The sequence below is a fragment of the Homo sapiens genome, chromosome X (assembly GCF_000001405.40).
Source record: "Homo sapiens chromosome X, GRCh38.p14 Primary Assembly".
Lineage (NCBI taxonomy): Eukaryota > Metazoa > Chordata > Mammalia > Primates > Hominidae > Homo > Homo sapiens.
Genome location: NC_000023.11, coordinates 29,389,600 through 29,415,004, shown reverse-complemented (window position 1 = coordinate 29,415,004; position 25,405 = coordinate 29,389,600). Strand labels below are relative to the sequence as shown.

General features: G+C 35.9%; 1 protein-coding gene across 3 annotated transcripts in view; it reads right to left on the bottom strand.

Moving 5' to 3' along the window:
* The window catches only part of IL1RAPL1 (interleukin 1 receptor accessory protein like 1), a 1,369,273-nt gene that overhangs the window by 541,714 nt on the left and 802,154 nt on the right, over positions 1-25,405 (bottom strand). For all 3 annotated transcript variants that reach the window (NM_014271.4, XM_017029240.2, XM_017029241.2), the window contains 2 exons: positions 18,561-18,747; positions 15,697-15,850 (listed from right to left, as the gene is read on the bottom strand). In NM_014271.4, coding sequence (NP_055086.1) covers positions 15,697-15,850; positions 18,561-18,747 — 341 coding nt within the window. The remainder of the gene's footprint in view (positions 1-15,696; positions 15,851-18,560; positions 18,748-25,405) is intronic.

Genomic DNA, 25,405 nt, shown 5'->3' with positions numbered 1-25,405 from the left:
CAGAAATACATCCTCCTAGAGTACATTTTCAATCTTTGATTTGATGAGACTGAGAAGATAAAGTTGAACAATAGAAGTTTCTTTAGCTTATCTTGCTAATCTTTCCACACCAGAGACTCTGTATTGAAACAGGTGCAATATTGAGTTTTCAGTCAATTTTGCTGATGTCAAAACTAAAAGCAGTTAATATAAAGTGCCGACATAATGGTTTGAGCTTCAAAAGTTTTACAGAAAAATCAATACCTGTCAAAGTAGAGAGCCAACATGAAGTAGAGAAAAGATGATCTTTAAAAAAAAATCTTTGATATGATATTTTTCTTTTTTGAGTGAGAGTCTCATTACCATAGCCTGGACCTCTTGGGCTCAGGCGATTCTCCCACCTCAGCCTCCTGAGTAGCAGGAACTACAGACATGCACCACCATGCCCAGCTAATTCTTTGTATTTTTTTGTAGAGATAGGGTTTCCCCATGTTGCCCAGGCTGGTCTTAAACTCCTGGGCTCAAGTGGTCCTCTCGTCTCAGCCTCCCAAAGTGATGGGTTTACAGGGGCAAGCCACCACACTTGGCAAATAATTTTAAAAATATGCTCCAAACTATTAAGAACAGCCATTTATTTTCAAATGAATCTTTTTTTGTGTGGTAAGATATATAAGATAAAAGTTACCATTTTAACTAATTTTAAGTGTACAATTAAATGGCATTAAATACATTCAAAATGTTGTGCTACCATCACCTTTATCCATCTCTTGAACTTTTTTTTATCATCCCAAACTGAATCTCTGCTAACTACTGAACAATAACTTCCCATTCCCCTGTTCCCCAACCTTTAATAATCTCTACTCTATTTTCTGTCTCTATGAATTTGCCTATTCTAGGTACCTCATATGAGAGGAATCATGATCAAATGGGTCTTTGGAATGTTAACCACAAAAAATAAATCAGTTTTGTAAAATAGAAAATAATATTATTGCAAAAAAAAGTATAGAAAAATGTTCCCCTGATTTCTTAGATGCAAATAAGTGACTGTAATAGTCAATAAGACATATATTAATATAGGGGCACACACACACATATATATACACATACATACGTATGTATGCATTTGTATACATATAAATATATATAATCATATCAAAGGTAGAAATGCACATATTCATTATTTACCCCAGTTAAAGACATTGAAATTCATTTGTTAGTAGCTTGCACACAAATAAGATATTCTGAATTTTCTCCACACATATAAACCATTACTTAATGGTCAATGAATGTTAGTCAATAATTGTATTGATGATAATCAGTGACATTTGACGGAATAGATTAATATTATAAATATTATAGGGACATGGATGAAGCTGGAAACCATCATTCTCAGCAAACTATCACAAGGACAAAAAACCAAACACCGCATGTTCTCACTCATAGGTGGGAACTGAACAACGAGAACACATGGACACAGGAAGGGGAACATCACACACCGGGGCCTGTTGTGGGGTGGGGGTAGGGGGGAGGGATAGCATTAGGAGATATACCTAATGTTAAATGACGAGTTAATGGGTGCAGCACACCAACATGGCACATGTATACATATGTAACAAACCTGCACGTTGTGCACATGTACCCTAAAACTTAAAGTATAATAATAAAAAAAAGATTATAAATATTAAAATTACATTAACTGAAACAAACCACGTGTATTAGTCTGTTCTCACGCTGCTAATAAATACCTGAGACTGGGTAATTTATAAAGGAAAGCGGTTTAATGGACTCACAGTTCCACATGGCTGGGAAATCATGGCAGAAGATGAAGGAAGAGCAAAGCGGTGCCTTACATGGCAGCAGGCAAGAGAGCGTGTGCAGGGGAACTCCCTTTTTCTAAACCTATCAGATCTCGTGAGACTTACTCACTATCACCAGAACAGCATGGCAAAGACCCGCCCCCATGACTCAATTACCTCTAACGGGGTCCCTCCCACAAGATGTGGGAATTATGGGAGCTACAATTTAAGATGAAATTTGGGTGAGGACATAGCCAAACCATATCACCAAGGTAAAGATTCAAAAATCAAACCAAATCATGGCAGTAGCCACTTCCATTTGTATATTCCTTCACAGTCCGGTTTGATGCATCTGCGCTAATTTACCCCTCACCAAAGCACTGTGAGTGATGACTATTCACAGTCTCAACACTAAGACAACATTTAATGAAGACAGATAACTTAGTTAAGGTCACTGAGCCCAGGCATGGCAGCTCCACCAATGGAACTAAGACAACCCTTAGATGCTTGGTCTTGTGTGTTTCCCTTACACTTCTCCAGGCTGATACCACACTTCACTTTCAAGAGTAGCTCTGTGCAACAGAAATATAAGCCGAACTACATATACAATTAAAAATTTTCTAGCAGCTACATTTAAAAAAGTGAAAAGAGGTAAAATCAATTTTGTAGTATATCTTATTTAACTAAATATTATCACTTCAACATGATATCAATATAAAAAAATTACTAAAGAGATATTTTGCATTATTTTTGTCAAACTAAGTCTTTAAAATCCAGCACATATTTTACATTTGAAATATTTAGCACATATTTTACATTTAAAATATCTCAATCCAGTCTAGCCAAATTTCAGTTGCTCAGTGGACACATGGTGCTTGTGGCTATTATATTGGACAGCCCAGTTGTTGATATTTTTTTTCTCTAACTAACTAAAACAAGAATTTTTTTTTTCTTTTTTTTTGATGGAGTCTTGTTCTGTTGCCCAGGCTGAAGCACAGTGGTTTGATCTCGGCTCACTGCAACTTCTGCCTCCTGAGTTCAAGCAATTCTCCTGCCTCAGCCTCCTGAGTAGCTGGGACTACAGGCGCGGACCACCACGCCTGGCTAACTTTTGTATTTTTAGTAGAGACAGGGTTTTGCCATGTTGGCCAGGCTGGTCTTGAACTCCTGATCTCAGATGATTCACCCACTTCGGCCTCCCAAAGTTCTGGGATTACAGGTGTGAGCCACCATGCCCAGCCATAAACCAATAATTCTATCAAGGGATATTTATTGAACAGCTTTTTGACTCTCAAAATTGAGTTTGTTAGAATTAATATAAGAGAATTTGAAAATTTGAAGCAGTAGAGTGCAAATAAAGAAGGGAATTTCATTAGAAATAATGATAATGATTTGTATTTAAAAGTTTAAATATGTGTCCAAAATGTACTTTGACTTTTCTCCTTGATAAATATAGATAGTAATGCCTATAAATAATTGTGTACAGTACCTGCCATATGGTTAGCAGTAAAAAAAAAAAAAAAAGTAGTTGTTTCTTTAACAATGAGGTAAGAATAAGTTTAGCTAGTGGTCTGAAAATCTAGAAGTAATACAGCTCTAACACCTGGGACGGACAGAAAGGATGACTGTATCATTTCTAAGAGGCAAGCAATCCGTTGGATTACACTGGCAGGGTTATTATAATGAAAACACTCTCAGTACACTTGAAATTCAATGCTGTCAAAGAAAATCAGTGAAAAAATTAAGAACTACTTCTGGCTGATGAACTATGTCAGGCAACAACAGCAATAGGGCAGCCAGAAAATTGAATGAAATCAAAATGCATATATGACTGGGGCAGAAAGTCCTGCTGACCAATTGCCTTTCTTAATATTTATGCTCTCACACAGGCATCAAAAATACTGGTATTGTTTTAGATTTTTAAAAATGTGACCCATCATTTTAGGCATAGCTAATTTCTAGTCTGTATTTATGGATTCTAGTACCTGACATTTTTAGAGATATAATACAGATAGGTATGTATGTATGTATGGATAGATTCAATGTCTGACTATATAGCACAGGCTGGTCTCAAACTCTTGGCCTCAAGTAATCCTCCTGCTTCAGCCTCCCAAAGCACCAGTATTACAGGTGTGAACCACTGAGCCTGGTCTCTTTTTATTTTTTAAATGCTGTCTTGAACCAGGAGGACCCTGTTAAGGCCCTTCCTGGAGACTGGTCAATTCTTCTTGAGCAGCAAATTGGAGATTTTTTTGACCAAGAGTCTACCAACCAAAAGGACTGAAGGAAAGAGAGGAGTGGTACTCCAAAGAAAATGGGAGGTGTCAAAAGAAGTGAAACATATTCTAGGAAATATAAACAGCAGATGTCTATTACTTCTAAACTTCATGATTTCTTAAAGATTATAAAATGTGATTTGATATTCATAAAATTATGATTTGAATTATGTAACTTTTTTGTACTTCAATACTGCTAAATAAAAATTAGACCCAGAGATTTTTCTTTTTTTAAAAAAGAACATTCTTGCAAGCTCAACTAATCATTTAAAATGGTATTTCTATTTTATTTCATCTAATTTTTCTCAGTGTTTCAGAGCAGCAAATGGAGGTCTAATTGACTGCATTTTCCAGAAATGGATGTTCATCTTTTATTAAATTCAAAAATCCATATGAAGTGGGAAATAAAATAGTGAATTATTTTCAAGTGCAATTTATGAAACCTAGAAGAATATTAGGTACTTGGCAAGCACTGGAATTTTTTTTTTTTTTTGACACAGAGTCTTGCTCTGTTGCCCAGGCTAGAGTGCAGTGGTGTGATCTCGGCTCACTGCAACCTCCATCTCCCAGTTTCAAGCGATTCTCCTGCCTCAGCCTCCTGAGCAGCTGGGACTACAGGCACGCACCACCACACCCAGCTAATTTTTGTATTTTTGGTAGAGACGGGGTTTCACCACATTGGCCAGGATGGTCTCGATCTCTTGATCTTGTGATCTGCCCACCTCAGCCTCCCAAAGTCCTGGGATTACAGACGTGAGCCACTGCACCTGGCGAGCACTGGAAAAATTTTTAAGGGTGAGTAAGTTGAGGTTATGTGGAAGAATTTAGAACAGGCCGGGCACAGTGGCTCACGCCTGTAATCCCAGCACTTTGGGAGGCCGAGGCGGGTGGATCACCTGAGGTTGGGAGTTCGAGACCAGCCTGATCAACATGGAGAAAACCCGTCTCTACTAAAAATAAAAAATTAGCCGGGCGTGGTGGCACATGCCTATAATCCCAGCTACTGGGGAGGCTGAGGCAGGAGAATCGCTTGAACCTGGGAGGCGGAGGTTGTGGTGAGCCGATATCGTGCCATTGTACTCCAGCCTGGGCAACAAGAGTGAAACTCCATCTCAAAAAAAAAAAAAAAAAAAGAATTTAGAACAGATCCTGGCACACGGTGAACACTCAGTAGGTGTTAACTATTCTAATTATTAATATTTAATTTTTCTTGTATTAATGGAAATCATTCAAGTTTATGATGTCTTGTTTTCCCCATGGCCAGAGATGGCACATTCCAACCTTGCTATGAATATGTTCTAAAATGTATACGTTTTCTGCTCAAGAGTAAAAACATCTTGTTTTTATTCAAACTTACTACACCTTAACAATAAATGTTAATTTGATTCATACATTTTTGAACAACCCATTTAGTATATTAAGATTAAATAATAAATAAAGGTAATGAGTGTCAGTGGTTTCAGGACAGTTATTGGAAACCACTCATGAAAGAGCTCTTTTGTTTTAGGAATTCAACTCCAAATCAACATTAGATAGCCAAGTTGATTAAATTCAGTTTCACCATATTTATGAGCATTTTTCTCTTTTAATTCAAAAGTGTGAATTAATCTAAATGATATTTGAGTTACAAAAATATGGCAGATATTTACTTATAAAACAGCTAGAAATGTAGTATATGTCAATTCATCAAAAATAATATACATGATGGTTTTTGTGGGTATGGATCCTGGAATGTTAGCAAACATACAAAGTAAAGTCTGGAAAGATCTGCCCCTTTTATCAATTTCATCAATTATTGTTAGGCTGTAGTCAGTGAAAGCACACTTTAATCCATGAAGTAATTTAACAAAAACAGTTTTTTTAAAGGAGAAATAAAATACGCAATTTTTTGAAAGAAATAGGAAGAAAAAGAAGCAATACTCCATCCCCAGGCTAGACCACAAATACACTGCTTAATTACATCCATGGCAGAAGAATTAGAGGTCTCAGTTAAATGTGTTTCCGTTGCACTTAAAATATAAATCTCTCATAGCGATCAGCAGAGCTAATATGAACACTACAATGCCTTGCTATTAATTATCCAGTGGAGTAAATCATAGACTGAGGTTCAGGGAATTAAATTTTATTTCTAAATTTGTCACTGTGACGTTTTGTGACCTTGATAAAGCCACTTAACCTTTCTTTGCCTCAGCTTCCTCATCCATTAAAAGAGGAGGAAGATGTACCTTTTGAGAGCGTAAATTCAGTCTGTGGTCGATTGGGAAGTAGTTTGAATATTCTGCTGTATTAACTGTTAAAAAGTTATATAAAGGATAAAAATGCTACTAAAACTATCACATCCTTGTAACAATCACCTCATTCTTTTTGCTTCTTTTCGAATCAGTTTTCCTTTCTTCACTTCCTCACTCTGCTTGCTGACTCTCAAATTTACTTGGGAAAATTTTTTCTGACATAACATTTTAACAAGGTATTCCCTTACCATTACTTAATTCTATGATCTGACCCTAGAAATTAAATGGTGTTGCAACTGGTCTGACTCATTTCCAAACTTTATGATGGCAATACAGTTGTTACTTTGTTTTAAATCTTTCTTTTTAAAATAATAGAAAAATGTTTTGGCCAGAAGGGGAAATAAGCATTAAATGGGCAAAAATGAAAATCATGTAATGTAATCAATACATCTAAAAAAATCCTATATAGTGTATATTTTTTTCCTTAGACCTAACAAATCCAAAAATATGTATCATTACTAATATTTGTATTTTTTGTCTACATAGTTGGTATTTATGATGAGCCAAGGTGATTTAATTTATTTTGGAATCACTAGATTGCTTATGGACCACCTCTGGATATGACGTTTTCCCCATACCCACATTCCCACATATATCTGGCAGAAGACTAGGGTTATAGTGTAGTCTGGATGTGAGTTAGAGTTTAGTGCAAGGAATCCTAGGATATGGCAATGTATATCAATACAAAGTTGAATGTTTTCACATTTTTATTTAACAATATGGAAGTATAGAAAATTGTTACACAATGCAAAACAGAATTTTATGCATATCAAATTATATTTTATAATCTTTAAGAAATCATAATGTGTAGAAGTAGTAGAAAATGGCTTTTTATGTTCCTTAGAATAATTTCCACTTATTTTGGCACCTCCAACTTTCTTTGGAGTACTTCTCTCCTCCCTACAGTCAATTCGGTTAGGATACGCCCATGACCCAAATTAGCCCAAACAATAGTTAGTAAATTTGAAAATATACATACTTTTAATGAGCAAATCCTTTCCTAGGTAAAAATCCTACAGAATTGCTTGCTTATATGTTCAAGGAAATATGTAAGTGTTTGTGTGTATATATGTGTGTACATAAGACGGTTAATGGCAATATTACTTACATAAGCAAAAAATTACAACAAGCCCTAATGTCTATCAACAAACTGAGATTTTCATATAATGGAATATCATAGCATAAGAATAATGAATAAAGTACAGATGAATGGAATAACATACATGCATATTTGAAACAAAATTTGGAGTTGAAGAAGCCAGACAGAATACACAACATGTGGGTCCTAATTTATACGTTTCAAAACCAGGCAAAATGTAGCTATATCGCTTTGTCATACACTATCAGCTAATACAACTTTTAAACACGCAAGAAAATAAATACCCCAAAACTCACATACTGAGGTACCTATCCAGTAGTGGAGAGGAAGGGGTTTATAATCAGAAGGGCATATGGGGGCTTCTATGGGGCCTACAGTATTCTATTTCTTTGCCTAGTTGAGTTCTTTTGATAGCATGCTAAGCAGCTACTTGTTTACATTTTATACACTTTTTGGTTATATATGTTATTATTAAAAGAAATAAGTAAAAATATGTACTGGATTCTGTATTTCTTATTAGGATAAAAATCTCTCACTAAAGAGAGGTGAAATAATACATTCCAGAAAAAATATAAAAGCATATTACACAGCTTTATACAGAGCCTTTTAAATATAACATTTTAAACAATGTTTCCATTCAAAACAGACATATCTTCCAACAAAAAACGTAATGACTTTTGTCAAGGAAGAGAAGTTATTATAGTGTAAGACAGAATCAAGTATAAAACCTATCTTCATACACTGGGATGACGTATTAAAAATGAACATAATCATCTCTATAGGAATACTCAGCACTGTATTCATACCTAAAAGTTCAACCACAGGCAGGCATTTGACTTAACAATATAAGAAAACTGATGTTATTTGACTTAAATCTCAATACAAATCAGCAATATAATGTAGGAAATGAAAAGGTTTATGTAAAACTCGGTAGTATTAGACTCGTGCAAATGTAATTGCGGCTTTTGCCTTTACTTTCCAGGGCAAAAACCCGCAAAGTTATGGCAAAAACCGCAATTATGTTTGCACCAACCTAAATATTAATAAAAGTAGAGTGTGAGATCTGTATGGAGGGTATTATTCCTCCACGATACCCACAGATGGGTAATATAAGAAGAGAGATTGCAATGTTAAAAAGAATCGAAAGGAAATGCTAGATTTGCTTTTTTTTTTTTGAGACAGAGTCTCGCTCTGTCGCCCAGTCTGGAGTGCAGTGTCGCGATTTCGGCTCACTACAAGCTCTGCCTCCCAGGTTCACGCCATTCTCCTGCCTCAGCCTCCCGAGTAGCTGGGACTACAGGCGCCCACCACCACGCCCGGCTAATTTTTTGTATTTTTAGTAGAGACAGGGTTCCACCATGTTAGCCAGGATGGTCTTGATCTCCTGACCTTGTGATCCGCCCACCTCGGCCTCCCAAAGTGCTGGGATTATAGGCGTGAGCCACTGTGCCCAGCCAGGAAATGCTAGAGTTTTTAAAAAACAAACATTGTAACAGAAATGAAGAAGCCCTTTGATGGTCTCATCAGTACACTGGACACCAGTTCAGGAAACAATGTGTGAGCTTGAAAATAGATCAGTAGAACTTTATCAACTGACATGCAAAGAGAAAAATGAATGATAAAAACAGAAAAGAACATCCAAGAACTGAGAGATAATTTCAAAAGGCATAATATATGTATAATCGGAATATCAAAAGTAGAAAAAAAAAGAATGGAGCAGAGTAAATATCTGAAATAATAATGGTCATGGAATTTTCAAAATTGAGAGACATCAAACCAGAAATCCAGGAAGCTGATAAAACACTGAGTAGGATAAATAACAAAATCACTATACCTAGGCATACCATATTCAATCTACAGAGAAAAAAAAAACACAGACAATCTTGAAAGAACACAGAGCCTGGGCGTGGTGGCTCACGCCTGTAATTCCAGCACTTTGGGAGGCCGAGGCGGGTGGATCACGAGGTCAGGAGATCGAGACCATCCCGGCTAAAACGGTGAAACCCCGTCTCTACTAAAAATACAAAAAATTAGCTGGGCCTAGTGGCGGGCACCTGTAGTCCCAGCTACTTGGGAGGCTGAGGCAGGAGAATGGCGTGAACCCGGGAGGCGGAGCTTGCAGTGAGCCGAGATCCCGCCACTGCACTCCAGCCTGGGCGACAGAGCGAGACTCTGTCTCAAAAAAAATAAATAAATAAATAAAGAACACAGAGAAAATATCATATCTATACAGGCACAGAGATAAGTATCAGAGTGAACATCTCATCAAAAACCATGCAAGCAATAAAAGAGTGGAGTGGCATATTGAAAGTGACAAAACGAAAAAAGTACCAATCAAAAATTCTACATCCAGACTGGGCGCGGTAGCTCACGCCTGTAATCCCAGCACTTTGGGAGGCTGAGGTGGGCGGATCACAAGGTCAGGATATCAAGACCATCCTGGCCAACATGGTGAAACCCCGTCTCTACTAAGAATACAAAAATTAGCTGGGCATGGTGGCACGTGTCTGTAATTCCAGCTACTCGGGAGGGTGAGGCAGGAGAATTACTTGAACCCAGGAAGCAGAGGTTGCAGTGAGCCGAGATCATGCCACTGCACTCCACCCTGGGCGACAGAGCAAGACTCCGTCTCAAAACAAAACAAAACAAACAAACAAACAAAAAAATTCTATATCCAGCAAAATTCTTTTTCAAAGGGGAAAAATAAATAAAGGCATTCTCTGATAAATGAAAACTAAGGGACATCATCACCACTGGACCTTCATTGCAAGAAATGCCAAAGGAAGTTTTTCAGGCAGAAGAAAAGTGTATGGAATAGAAACTTGGATCTACATAAAGAAGAGTGCCAGAGAAGGAATAAATGAAGGTAAAATAAAATATTTTATTTCTCTTATTCTAAATTGATGTAAAAGATAACTTTGTTTAAAATAACAGTAACAATATATTGGGTGATTATACAATATGGGTAAGTGAAATGAATGAGAACAATGTCATAAAGGATAGGAGAGAGGAACTGGGAGTACTCTGTAATAAGGTATCTGTACTACACAGCGTTTTTTGAAGGTGGACTGAGATTAGTTTAAAATTGGAATATCCAGGGCTATCACTAAAATATATATCTAAAAAGAAGGAAAATTGATGTAAAAATGGAAGAGATAAAATGCTCAATTAAAAGGAAGGAAGGCAGAAAGGAGTGAAGGAAATGCATATTGCTAAGTGAAAGAAGCCAGTCTGAAAAGGCCAAAAACTGTATGATTTCAATTATATGACATTCTGGAAAAAGCAAAACTATAGTTATGGTAAAAAGATCAGTTGTTTCCAGGGATTCGGAAGGCAGAAAGAAGGGCTGAACATATGAAGTGTAGAGTCTTTTTTAGGGCAGTGAAACTATTCTGTTACTTTTTAATTATGAATACATGACACTATGCATTTGTTTAAACTCATAGAACTTCACAGCACAAAGAGAAAACCTTAATGTATGCAAATTTTAAATATAATTCAGGAGGTCAGAGGATCCTGGGAAATACAGAATATGATAAAACAATCTAACTATATTACAAATATGTGAGATAACCTCACTGAAGCAGGTGAGGGGAAAGGTGCTGACCTTAGCAACTTTGGAAATGAGTGAAGTCTGTAAGGCTAAATGCTAAAACAATTGTACGTAAACACCATATTCTAATTGATAAAGTTGTTTCCCACATGGGCACAGGTTAACAAATTCTGATCTCACTATACATTTATACTGGAAGTGAACAATTCAGTAAAAGAATGGCAGATGGTGAGAACCAGTTTTCTAACTACTGGATTGGGAGGTTACACATAAGGTAGGGGAAGAGGCTAAAATGATCCATATGGTAATAAATTAGAGTTGGAAACATCAGTATGAACTCATGTTTAACTTAATATAAACACAGGTGGTTACACATATAAATATCTATAGATATGTGTATATGTTTATGTGTTACTATACACATTTTTCTTTTTTTGTCGATTAGAAAAGCTTCAAAACAACTATATCCCAGTAGCAATGAGTACTCTCAACATGAAGGTATTCATTTTTGGTATAATTCTCCAATAAAAGCAACATGGCATCTTTGAAAAAATATATCTGATGTAGGGACTGGGGCAGGAAATATACAAGATGAGCTTAGAGCATCTTAAAGGGCCAGAAAGTAGGAAAGTACTCAAACATACATACACACACACACACACACACCCCAATATAAGTATGTCACAGGGACAAAGGAGCCAACTAAAAGAGCTCTTAATGACCAAAACTGTAATAATTTGAGCAACAAAATAAATAAGGTAATTTGGATTATAAAGCAAAGTATAAAATAACTGTTAAGTCCAAACTGGTATAGAGCAACAATTGAATAAGTAGATAAATGTGGGAGAACAGACATATATCTCATGTAGCAGAATACCACACAAAATATGTGGACATTCTGCTCTCAGAGAGGTGGAACATAACCTCTCACTCCTTTAGCATGGATGACATATAGCATGGATGACAAAAACTACAGTATAAAAATGGGGAAGAGAGTAACTTTACAGTGGAAAAACCTACCTAACACTACCTCAGGTGATCAAGATCAACATCAACAGTGATAAGTCAGGCTGATATGACATGTTGTGATTTTACCTCTGTGTTTTTTCTTCCAAGGACCTATAACCCTCACCTAATCATGAAAAAATCTCAGAAAAATCCCAAATATAGGACATTCGACAAAATACTCCTCAAAATTGTAAAGGTCATCAAAAATAAAAAAAAATGTAAAACAGTCACAACCAAGAGTATCTTAAGGAGACATAACAACTAAATGTTATGTGCTATTCTAGATGGGATCCTGGAACAGAAACAAGGACATCAGGTAAAAAGCACAGAAATCTAAATAAACTACGGACTTTATTTAATAATAATGTGCCAAAATCAGTTCATTAACTATAACGAATATACCATATTAATATTAGATGTGAATAACAGGGGGAACTGAATGCAGGCTAGATGGGATTTCTACTATGTTTTTTCTGTAAATCTAAAACCGTTCTAAAATCAAATGCTTATTTAAAAAATAAAAGACATTGCCCTTGACTCTAAGTTGCTCACATTCTTATGAAAATACAGGAGTGTCATTAAATAGTTTGATGCAATGAGGTAAGTGCTGCAATAGAGATGCTAAAAGTGCTGTGGATGCATGGAGTACGTGCCTCAACAAGGGGATAACATTTTAGCTGTGCCTTGAAGAAAGGGTGAGAATCAGGGATGTGACAAAGGAGAAGATAAAAAACCTTCCAGAGGGAGAAAACCATGAATAAGAGTTCAGAGGGAGGACATTTGGAGTAAGAACTTCAATGTGGGTAAGGCTAATAAAAGATAGAGGCTAGAGATGGTGCCGTAACATCTTTAATTTAAAAGAAAAAAATTGAGAATGTTTCAGGAGTTTGACACCAGCCTGGCCAACATGGTTAAACCCGGTCTCTACTAAAAATACAAAAATTAGCTGGGCATGGTGGCACGGGCCTATAATCCCAGCTACTCGGGAGGCTGAGGCAGGAGAATCTCTTGAACCTGGGAGGCAGAGGTTGCAGTGAGCCAAGATTGCACCACTGCACTCTAGCCTGGGCAACAAGAGAGAAACTGTTTCCCAAAGAAAAAAAAAAAGATGTTTAAAATACCAAAAGTGCTGGACAGGTTTATAATTCCTTTCACTGTGATCTGTTTTGTTGAACCAGTACTTCACTTAGCTAAGGATATACATTTTCAATAAGGGAAGGATCGATCACCCATAAAAGCTCACGATGCTGCCTGCACATTTAGCCACTTCCTTCGGCCAGAAATTTCCTTTTTACGTATAGGATTCCTCTTTTTTTTTTTTTTAAAGTGACATTATAACAAACTTCAAATTCCACTAAAACCAAATAATATTATGTTTTCCATAATATTTTCATTAAGTAAAATATGATAATGATGTGCAGAAAACCAAGATAAAAAACAGTGATTCCTTATCATTCAGATACTGCCCATGTTTGTTGCTTTAACTGAGGAATATAATTTGGGTTTTAAGAACTGCTCTTTAATTTGGCCCCACAGTAAATGCGCTATAGTGTCACACCATTTAAAACAATGTTATACATAAATATATCTTCCCAGTAGACTTGTTGTTAATACCTAAAATGCATTTTAGTATATACTGTTCTTAATTCTAGGGCATGTAGCTCTACATTAACCCAAAATTTCACATCCAGTCAAACTGTTTCATAATTTATTTGCCCAAATCATTGTCTCAGGTAAGGCTACATATAAGTATTTATGATAATAAGTGGAATGAAAACTTTCATTAAAACTTTATCTTCCTCTTGAATATCAAGACTCAATTACTCTTTGTTTTTATATAAAGAAAACAAGATATTTTGGGACAAATGAAGTTTAGGAAAGTACGGTTGCCCTGGAAAGCATTTAGGATATAAAGAGTTCTATTTTTGGTTCTATAAAATAGTCTTACACAAGCTGTTTTACCATTCAGAGCCCAGTGTTCAGTATCCATGATACTGTGCTCCAACTGTCTCATACTAGGTACTGGTTTAGAATCCTAGCATTTCTAGAAAGGGGAAAGAGGTGCTTACTAAAGATGAGTTCTCCACTCTGAAGAATAAAGACTAGAAGTGCATTCTATTTTCTATTCAGGATAGATTGCTTTACTTTATATTTTTAAATTCCTTTGCCTCAATACTACTGGTTGAAAAACCACTTCAGTAGAGATTAAAGGAAAAAATTAAGTAACAGATGAAAAACAAATTTCAAAATTGATTGTATAGAAACTCAAGTATAGCCAGATACCTTAAAAGAAATAAATTATTATAAGATGTAGGTGACTACCACAAAACACTTTTCATATACAGGGAAAACTAATTTTAAGTGGACCAGTGAACAAATAAAACTCTGTTTAATTTAAAACAGCTAATGTCCTTTTTATGCTTTTCTATATAAGTTTTACAAGTATGATCATACACAAAAGTCACCAAGAAGAATCTCTCAATAAGAATATGAGAATAATATTTTTAATTTCTGAATGTTGTTCTTATTATCCCCACTTTTCTCATGAAACCACCTTGTAAGAAATGCACTATAAAGAAAAAAAATGTATGAATGCAATTTTCATGGACAAAAATTATGCACATTTGGATATAATTCTGCATTTTGCAAATTTATGTCATACATATTACCTTACTTCATTTGATCCTTGCAAAAACCCTATGAAATAAGAACAGCAAATTTTATCAACACCATTTTATACATGAAGAAACTAATATGCTGAAGGCTGTGGTAACTCCACCAACCTATGTGACTAGTGAGTTGTAGATTCATGATTACAGGTAGTGTTCTGAATCTTGTCCTCATGTCCTTCCACCTTAGCAACCAGCTATGAAAATGACTCTATGCATCACATCTCACATAATTATTCAATGACTGCACCTGAAGTTATGCTATTTTCAAGTTCATGAGGACATGTATGTCAGATTGATAGAGTGATAAATAAATAAAAGAGAAAAGCGACTTTTCTAATTTGGAGCAAGACAGGAAGACAGAGGTAGATTTCATATATTCTATTTAGCCACTCTAGGAAATGTTTCCAAAAACGATACCATTATAAAATATAAGCATAATTTTTGGAAACCATAAACTCATTTTTATTTCAAGTACTTTCAAAAGCTAACATTTCTTTTTTTTTTTTTTTCTGAGACTTCGTCTTGCTCTTGTCCCCCAGGCTGGAGTGCAATGGCACGATCTCAGCTCACTGCAACCTCTGCCTCGTGGGTTCGAGTGATTCTCCTGCCTCAGCCTCCCGAGTAGCTGGGATTACAGGCGCCCACCACCACGCCTGGCTAATTTTTGTATTTTTAGTAGACACAGGGTTTCACCATGTTGGCCAGGCTGGTCCTGAACCCCTGACCTCGTGATTCGCCCACCTTGGCCTCCCAAAGTGCTGGGATTACAGGCATGAGCCACGGTGCCCGGCCCAAAAGTTAACATTTCTATAACTCCCTAAACATATTGTCTCTAGCCTTTTGAATGGACTTCAGTGGAAGATGATTCAAAAGCAAGGAGGAATAAATTTCACCTATAGGAATCCACTTAGCATTTGATTATGTAATTCTTTAGAGAGTAAAAATATCAATGTGTAGCATAAAAACTAACTTAAAATAGTAGTTTCATCACTTGCAAGTGAAATATTGAAGACTGTGATTACCTGTAACAGTTAATTCAGTAGTTCTTCTCACAACAAAGCCTCCATATTTTAATTCACAGGTATAATTTCCAATGTCATCTTCTCTGACTTCTCTTATAAGCAGAGTATCTCTTTTGAATACAATACTTGGCCTCCATGTTTTTGTCCTGCATTCCTATATGAAGAACATACAATTTTGGTAGTACATATAGTAATGGAAAAATATAGAACAGTTTTAAATAACTAAAACAAAAGCTTCTAAAATTGCATTTTAAAGGGACTAAAAAGTTTGAAACTAATGCTAAATAATTTCATTTCTTCTCAAAATCTCTGGGGAATCAATTTGCTTCCTAGAATAATATGGCAAGTTGCACTGGTCATTATACATTTTTGAACCAATGAATACTTCAATCTGAAGATTATTTTTTTGGAAAAGTCAATTAACTTCTAAGATTAGTATATCTAAACCAGATATGTACTGATTTATTAGATATAAGAATAGAGATGTATGCTAAGACTATCCGTGACATCATTTTGGAAACAGATATTTCACATTTCATTATTGTGAAATCAACCATATTGAAATTGATAACATAAAATACAAACCATATTATTTTACTGGAAAGCAGAAAATTTGCTGTACAAAAGATTGCACCGTTCAATGATTGCACCTAAATTCTATTTCAATATTTGAAACATTTTAGTTTTGCATTTAGTAAAAATTAAATCTCTTCATAGTGTATGCATGCTATAATCCATGAAACAATCAACATTTATATGCAAGGTCTTTAGAGTTCCATAAATATCTGTTTTCATTGTTAATAGACTTAGCAAATTATGGTCTCTGAATTAAGCTTTGAATAATAATGATGTTGGCTCAGGAGATTTCTGTTTTTGCCAAAACAGAAGTCAATTTCCTCTAGCCAGATTTGAAATCAATGGAACGAGGATAAAATAGCTTTAAAACATTTGACATTCTTCAGGGGTAATATTGTTTCTAAAAAATTGTATTGCCAAATCAAATTTTTGCAGAACATTATTTTATGTGGCTCAATGCCTTTGTGTAATTGGGGGCAATTTTCGTGTTATTTCTGACCAAAATATACACTGTATATGCCATATTAGTTGCATGACTTGTGGTAATTGCATAAATTTTCCACTGAATGTGTGACATCTACATTTAGCCAGATTGATTATTTTATAGTATTCCACTATAGAAGTAGCCCTTAAATCTCTGCTATTTAGACTACAGGGGCTAATCTTTGACTATGGAAAAATAATCTGAAATGTTATGACTTTTAAATACCACATATACTGCATCCCCACCCACCACTTCACTAGTCTGCATAGCTTAAGGTCAAAATTATTGTGGCAATGTTGGAAATAGGACTAAAGGACCAGCCACTTTTTACACTGTGTGTGTGTAGTCTCTCATCTTTCAGCAAATTTTAAGATGCTCTTTGCAAAAGGTGAGAAAAGAAACACAACTCTTAAAATAAACTTATTAGTGAACAACAAAGACACTGCATATTTAGAAGCTGATGTCACACATGAGTACTAAGAAAAAAAAGGGTTTATTTGGAGACTTTGGGTCAAATTCCCCTAATACCACTCCCCCTTGAAGCAATCATCAGGGCTTGCCTCAGAATCTGCCTGTGGAAGTCAGACAAACCACAGGGTGGTTTGAGATGTGAGGGTGGTTAAGGATAAGAAATACTCCAACAATTAAAAAAAGAGAAAAAGAAAATTCATTCCCACAGTAACAGAAACCAGCAGGACTAATATTTGAGCTCCATTTAACATGGTCTAGGATTGAAAATCAAGCAAGGGACAAGTATAAAAATCTTCCAACAGTTCCCTTGATGTTCTGAACCCACAATTTCACATTATCAAGAATCAAAAGTAAGTCTTACTTAGGAAAGAGCATTGCTGTTTTGGAAAAATCTTTTTTAAAATTGTTAAAGGTTTGTTTCTTGTTTTATTTCTAACAGTTTTTGAATTCATCTTCAGTCTGTCATGAGGGCTCACATTCTGTATACTGACATTTGTGGATCTAGTTACAAAGAGGCCCAGTTTCTAAAGTCCCACTTCCAGTGAGTTAGACAAAGCAAATGTTACATAAGGATTCTTTAAACTATGTATAAAATATTCTGGAAGAATGTTCACAGCATCTATACTTTATTTTTTGAGTACATTCAATAACAAAAATTTCTTTTATTGTATAAACAAGCTTAAAATTATGTTCAAATCTGGAATATCAGTAAATAAACATCAATGATGGTGATAGGAAAGTCAGAGGTTGGATTATTCTGTTTAAGTTTAAAGTTTCAACTGGTTTTGGAAGAAAGTTACTTCAATATTATATTTCTGGTGTCATACAATTTCCTCAGATGTTATTTCTTTAAAATGTTTATGTTTATACATGAAAAAGATTAGAATATGGACAAAATTATGTCCATTAAACAGAACATTCCATGAAAAACTAGTATACGATTTTATCCTGGAAAAAAATCAGTCCTTTTTCCTTTTGTTTGGGGACACTTTGAAATGCTAATGTGAAGAACCCTGAAAAGAAGGTTCAAGGTAATTTAGTTCCTGAAATTATCAACCCAGACCATAGTAGACTTGAAAGAATTGTCCATGGAAATAAAATATAAACATAAACACAACAGCTTATTACAGTGGATTACCAATACAAACATTGACTAGAATTTACTAAAGCCATTGGTTAAAAAACATATAATGACCAGTACAACTTGCTATATTATTCTAGAAAGGCAAAGCTAAACTATATCACACCCATCTAAGTTTTCTATCCAATTTGTCCCAGAATATAAGGCACAATTAATTTGTTAATAGGAAATAGAACCACCCGCAGTCCATACCTTGTACCAAAGGATTTCAGGTTCTCTGGTTGGCAGTAGAAAATCCTCTATGTCACGGCATGAAATTTCCTTGCTTTTGCTAAGTTCAGCTTTTTCAAAATACTTCATCTTGGAATTATAGCAGAGTCCAGTGTCATTTTCACCCACTGTCAGTGAGATGGATACTTTCATACAGTAAGTGGAGTTTCTGTAACAAAGCAGAATAAATACAGTGACCTGGTGTGAACAAAAAGCAAGTGCTGCCAAGGCAGTGTATTTAATTCACTTAAAAGAAAAGCAAAAACTTCACTGTTTAACTAATTTTATGGTATCTTGACTTATTCCACAGGGTTCTCTCTTGCTACCCAGCTAAACAATACTTGCTCTTGTGAAGCTAAATGTATATTTATTTGTTTTTATTTGCCAGAGAAAAAGTTTTGTTTTACATTCAGGTTAAGTTTTAAAATGTTTAATAGATATTTTGTACCTAGAAAAAAAATAAAGGAAGATTTAGGTCCAGAATAAAGTCAAGCCTGGGCTTATGCTAAAATTGGCAAATTCAATAGAAGTAGAAAAGTGTAACTGGCCTATTAATCACAGTGAGGTTCAGGAATAATGCTGCATACTCTTACACTATTGGTTGTCTTGCTAAGACGAGTAGTTACTGAGTCTGGGCAGAACACATTCTTGGATAAAAGTTACACTATTGGTTGTCTTGCTAAGACGAGTAGTTACTGAGTCTGGGCAGAACACATTCTTGGATAAAAGTATTGCAAAGTTACTATCTTTATCGACCCATATCTACTTGGGTTGGAACCTAGAGTCCAGGTTGTCAGAGCTAAGCATTCTACTGTGTTACATAAGAACAACCCCATCCTGATAGACAGATTCTACAGAATTGGGTCATTAAATAAGCATCTCTTTTTTCTTCCTGGTACATAAATCAAGTTTATAACTTGGAATAAGTGAGGCTATAAATCCTGTGCAGAGATCTTTTGGAAGGGTTGAGACCAAATGAAGTTTTTTGGGTAAATTGCACTACTTCTACTTGCTTTTTAAGTCTCAGGACATTCAATGAACACTGATCATGTGTCAGGCATGGTGCTGGCTAATGAGAAGAAAGAGAGGAATAAAATATTGAATTCAAAGTTTGCTTTAGAACTTCCCATTTGGTAAATAAGTGCCCAACTGCTTATTCATGTACATGGCCATCAAATTCCTGTATTTGAGTCTCACTGCTTACCATCTCTACAAAACTGGGCAATTTATTTAACTCCTTTGAGTCTCAGGTGGGACTCATGGGAGAGCCAGCACTTGTCTGAGCATTAAAAAGGATACTGGATAGAAATCTGCTTGGCCTGTCATAGGTGCTCCGTGATACTGCTGGTTCCTCTTTGTGTCTGTACACATGCACAACATCTCTTAAGTCCTCCTCCTTATTCAGCTAATGCTTTGACATTTAAGCAGCTCCCTTATTTAGATTCTTGCTTTTGTTGAATGCTAATATGACACAGTGAGAATGTCCAGAAAATAGATAGGTAGGTTATTAGGCTTTATATCTGGTAACAAAGAATATTTCCACAAAATTAGATGGTTCTTTATTGAATGTAGACATCTCTAGCTTCCTATAATACCTAGCCTACAATTAGATGAAAGATACTTAATAGGTGAAATAATTAGCCATTAAACAAAGGTAATCAGAAGCTTGAAAAAAGTCCTGAGCGTGTGTGTTCAGGAATTTTGCTAGAATAAGGCATATTCCCTGTCCTCAGGCCCTCACAATCCAGGGAAAGAGATAGGCAAATAAACAGCTGAAATTCAATATGATAATTACTACAAAGAGATATGAACTACCACAGTGGTATCAAAGAAAGAAACAAGAAGGCTCCATAAATGATGATACCTGAACTATCTTAGAGACTGAATAAGAATTTGGCAATTTTAAGAAGGGTTATCTGAGGTAACGGTTTGCACAAAGCCTGGAAGGCATAAAACAACTTACTGTGTTTAAGTAATTGCAAATAATGTGGAGTGACTGGAGTATAAAGGACTTGAGACTGGACAAATGCACAGAAGCAAGACTGAAAGTCACATAAGCCACTTCAAAGAGTTTAAACTTTATGTTAAGGAATGATGAAATTTGGATCTTAGAAAGGTTTTTCTGATTATAATGAGAAAAATGGATTTGACTGTAAGGAAGAATAAATGCAATGAGGCAAATTAGAAAGCAACTGCATTCACTCAGAAACAAATGGCAGCCCCAATGAAAGCAATACACATTGGGACAGAAAAGAGGGATCATGTTCAAAATATACTTAAGACACTGAATCAATGTAACAGTGAGGAAGCAAAGGAAAGAGAGAGGCATCCAAGATGATCAAGAATTTTTCTCAGTTGAGTATATGAAAGGTAGAGTCAATCTTTCAGCATAAAAAACACTGAAAAAGAAACAGCTTTGAGAGAAAAGAGTGTGTTAAGTTTTAGCTTGAGCTTCACACCCAAGTGAAAAAGATATCCCTCTTTGGGTTTGCCAGCAATACTGCTCATGCATTATTTATTAATTTTACTCCAGGGCTGACTGGAGCATGCTCTTTCTAGGCTCATTATAAGATTATTTTTTCAGAAAAAAATTATCTACATTAACCTATTAACTATTTTAGGGCACATTCAAATATGCTTTCAGAAAATGCTTAGGTTTTGGAAGGATACAGATTTGTAGAACACAGAATTAAAAAAAAAAACAAAAACAAAAACAGAAAGGCCTTTTAAGGAAAGTAAATCTGTGCATCATAATTTTGAAACTTCCACATAAATCGTTTAGACACAAGAGTCTTAGGTTTCCTTTCTCCTCAAACTATTGATTACTTTTGTTTGTCTGTTGTACTATATCTCTTTGTATGGAATACGAGACATTCATATACAGAGAGAGAGAGAGAGAGGCAGGGTCAAGTGAAGAGCAAGACTCCAAAGCCCAACCTCATGGGTTCAATCTCAATCACTCATTCAAGCTCAATCACTCATTATTTTTGAGAACTAGGGAAAGTTGGCAGGGCGCGGTGGCTCAAGCCTGTAATCCCAGCACTTTGGGAGGCCGAGGCGGGCGGATCACGAGGTCAGGAGATCGAGACCATCCTGGCTAACATGGGGAAACCCCGTCTCCACTGAAAATACAAGAAATTAGCCGGGCGTGGTGGCGGGCGCCTGTAGTCCCAGCTACTCGAGAGGCTGAGGCACGAGAATGGCGTGAACCCGGGAGGCGGAGCTTGCAGTGAGCCGAGATCGCGAGACTGCAAGCCTGGGCGACAGAGCGAGACTCCATCTCAAAAAACAGAAAACTAGGGAAAGTTACTTGGCTCCTTTGGCTTTCATTTCCTTATTAGGATAAGGTGAAAGTAATACCAAAGACTCCATAGGCTGCTGTGGGAAACGAATACAATAAAACTCATAAAGAGCTTAGAACACTCAGTAAGCGTTAGATCTTATTATCGGCACCGCCTCCTTCATTCCCAGTTTCTTTATACTTCCATTTTGCAGTACAGTCGCACAGTGTTTGTTTAACAAATTAGAAAATACTACCATGATGAGGCCTTCAGTTCTTTGGTGTCTAATTAGTGTGAAGCTTAAAAATCCAGATAAGTCCTTATACTTTTCATTTGAAATATATGAGTGGGTTGAATAAGAATGACTAAAGTTGAATTAAATATGGACTCCCTACCACAGCCATCACCTCTTTCTCTTCTTTAAATACAAATGTCCCCTAATCTTCAGAAAGTGGCTCCAGAGGAGCATCACTTAGGTATTCTTATTTTCCTAACTTCTCCTTCAGCTCTGTGAGATGAGTGTCTGGTAATGTCTGGAACTCCAGACTCTCCAGGATGGCACTATTTTCAAATTACTTTCGATGTTTAATACTTGTTTACTGTTTCTGTTCATCAGGAGGTGATTTAAAAAGCTAAAAATAAAGTAGTATCCAACGAATGCTATAGTCCTATTTACTGAGAAGAGCTAACAGGAAGCAAGCAACTTGTGACACATTAATAAACATATGACACCCCTGAGGGGAATTTACACACTCTCAAAGCAAAGAGTACATTCCACCATCATCAAACTCGCGACATAACTGCTATGGTTCTCTGCTGTCAGGGAAATAACGTGGAATGGGGTAAATGGGGTAAAGAGAATGCTCCTACAGGACTTATGGTAAAACCATTAGCACATATTTACTCAGCTTTTATTGTTTATAACAGATGAGCTGCAGTCTACACAAAAACTTAAATCATGATTACTGGTTTCAGTATTTATAAAATGGCTAGAGAGACAGGACATGCATACAGGCAGAGAAAACAGAGTTATTTACAACTGAGAGTAAACACCCCACTATCCTTTCTAGTGAGGAAAGAATATTAGTATAGACTTAAAAAAAAAATCTAGTTGTCTCTGGCAAGGGTGACCGTGAGGTCCACACCAGGTACACACACAACATATTGGAGAAACAACTAACATAAAGTTACTTCTTTCAATGTCTTCATGTTACAGCAAAGGGACCCAATGCTGAAAGAAGTCAATGAGTTTTTCGAATTCTATTATCTAATTAGTGGTAGAAATGGGGTTAGAACTCACATCTCCTACTTCTAATTCACTGGTCTCTTCTATAAGCTAGGGGAGGCAATTGGTGCTGGGTTAGCACACATAGACGCTATATACCTATAGATGATAATAGATATAGATATAGACATACCATTGTTTAAAACAAAAGAAAGTTACCTACCCTTAACCCTTGGTTTTACTTTACTTTACAGTCTAAAATAAACGTCTTCTGGACGTTAAGGACTTAAATTTTCAAATTTTCTTCAGGACTTTAATGACCCAAGTTTTCAAAAAAATCCATGATCTAACTTGATTTTTTTGAAAATTTAGGTCCTTAAAGTCCCCAAAATCTGATAAGTGATATAAGGGAGCAAATGACCTGAAATACTATGTTTTCTTCATATTTTTCTACTATATAAAAGCATTTACTTCTGAAGCACTGGCTTTGAGTCCCGCCTTACAAAGAAGAAAAAAAAAATCTGATTCAGTGAAAATATTGGGAATTCCCAAATATTTTTGAACACAAGTAATCGATATATGACACAAAAATAAATTCAAAATAATTACTTCCATACAGTTTCCAGAAGTCAGTACAGCAGCACCCTGAACTCCTCCACAGGTTTCTCAGTACTGTTGTACTTTGAAATAGAAGACAATTCAGAGTTGATATGCATGGGAGCTATCAGAGATTTTTTTTTTTTTTTGAGATGGAATTTCGCTCTTGTTGCCCAGGCTGGAGTGCAATGGTGCAATCTCAGCTCACTGAAACCTCCACCTCCCGGGTTCAAGCGATTCTCCAGCCTCAGCCTCCGGAATAGCTGAGATTACAGGCACATGCTACCACGCCAGGCTAATTTTTGTATTTTTTGTAGAGACAGGGTTTCACCATGTTGGTCAGGCTGGTCTCAAACTCCTGATCTCAGTTGATCTACCTGCCTCAGCCTCCCAAAGTGCTGGGATTACAGGCATGAGCCACTGTGCCTGGCCGCTATCAGAGATTTTAAAATTCATTTTTAAAAGGATGACTACATTGCATAACTATAGATCAAAGTGCAGAAATTTGGGTAGTGCAGGCAGAAGGTAAAAAAGGAAAATATGTGTGGAAAGGGAAATTTTGTATATCACTGATTCACTGACAAAGGATATTAAAAACCATTTATGTGATACCTTAATGTAGCACAGTTTTAATTATTCTGTAATCACATGCCCTATGTACGATAATGTGTAGTGTTTGGTATCTCTCTCTTACTCTAGCAGAATTACCAGTGACATGATTGTAAAATGTATCCTCTAATAGGATCACTAAACACATGACCTGTATATTCTGCTAATCCTCAAGTCCCTAAGGGAAATACCATTTTCATAATGTTTGGCAATCTTTTCCTACTTCATGAAGTAGTGTGTAAGAAAGCCAGGGATTTGATTAACTTTTTAAAAGGATTAAGTTGTTCTATGCCTCTGTGTTTTATATGGTCTACTCTAACATTCACTGGTCATTTTTCAAGTCATGAGCTTTCCTTTTTGTAAGAATGAAGGCACATAATATTTTTCAAGTGTCATAAGCCTTTGGCACTGAAAACCAGCACAGAGTGGCAGCAGATCTGAAGGTTCAGTTACTACAGACTCAAGCAGAAGTGAACTGTCTGGAAGGCAGCTTCTCAACCAGAAATTTGACCATCGTGTCTAATCATTAGTTGTAAACATAAAGTGTTAGGAATCAAAAAGTGTCAAGGTTAGATTGTGGAAAGAGCATCTTAGAGTTTGTTAAACCTTAAATATACTTTGAAAGTTTATTTCTAATCTTAAAGCCTTCCATTTTCTTCCTTTTTTATTGTTCTGTCAGTCTTTATGGTAATGCCTGAAGCTATGCATGTGTCCCTCTCTTATATCTTATCTTTCTTAAACACAGTATGTTTGTAGCTACTAATACTAAATGAGAGATTTGTTTGGATTAGTTTTTCTTTTCAGAAGAGCTCTGGAGGGCCTATTGATTTAACCCTGGTTGAAATCAGCCCTTGGTGAAAAGATTAGAATGAGACCATTGAGCAGATGCTTAAAACCTAAAAATGCCAGTTTACTGCCTTCTCATTTGAAATTCTTTTTTAAACATTTTGTTGAACTGGTGAATTGAACTCCACCTACAGTCTTTTGCTAACTGTAAATTCAAGATAATTGTCTTCTCTTTTTTAGTAGAAAGTGATCAATATAATTTTCCTATTTTTATTTTTCTAACCTATTATTCCTGGAATACTAGAATTGAGAAGGCCTAGGCATATACA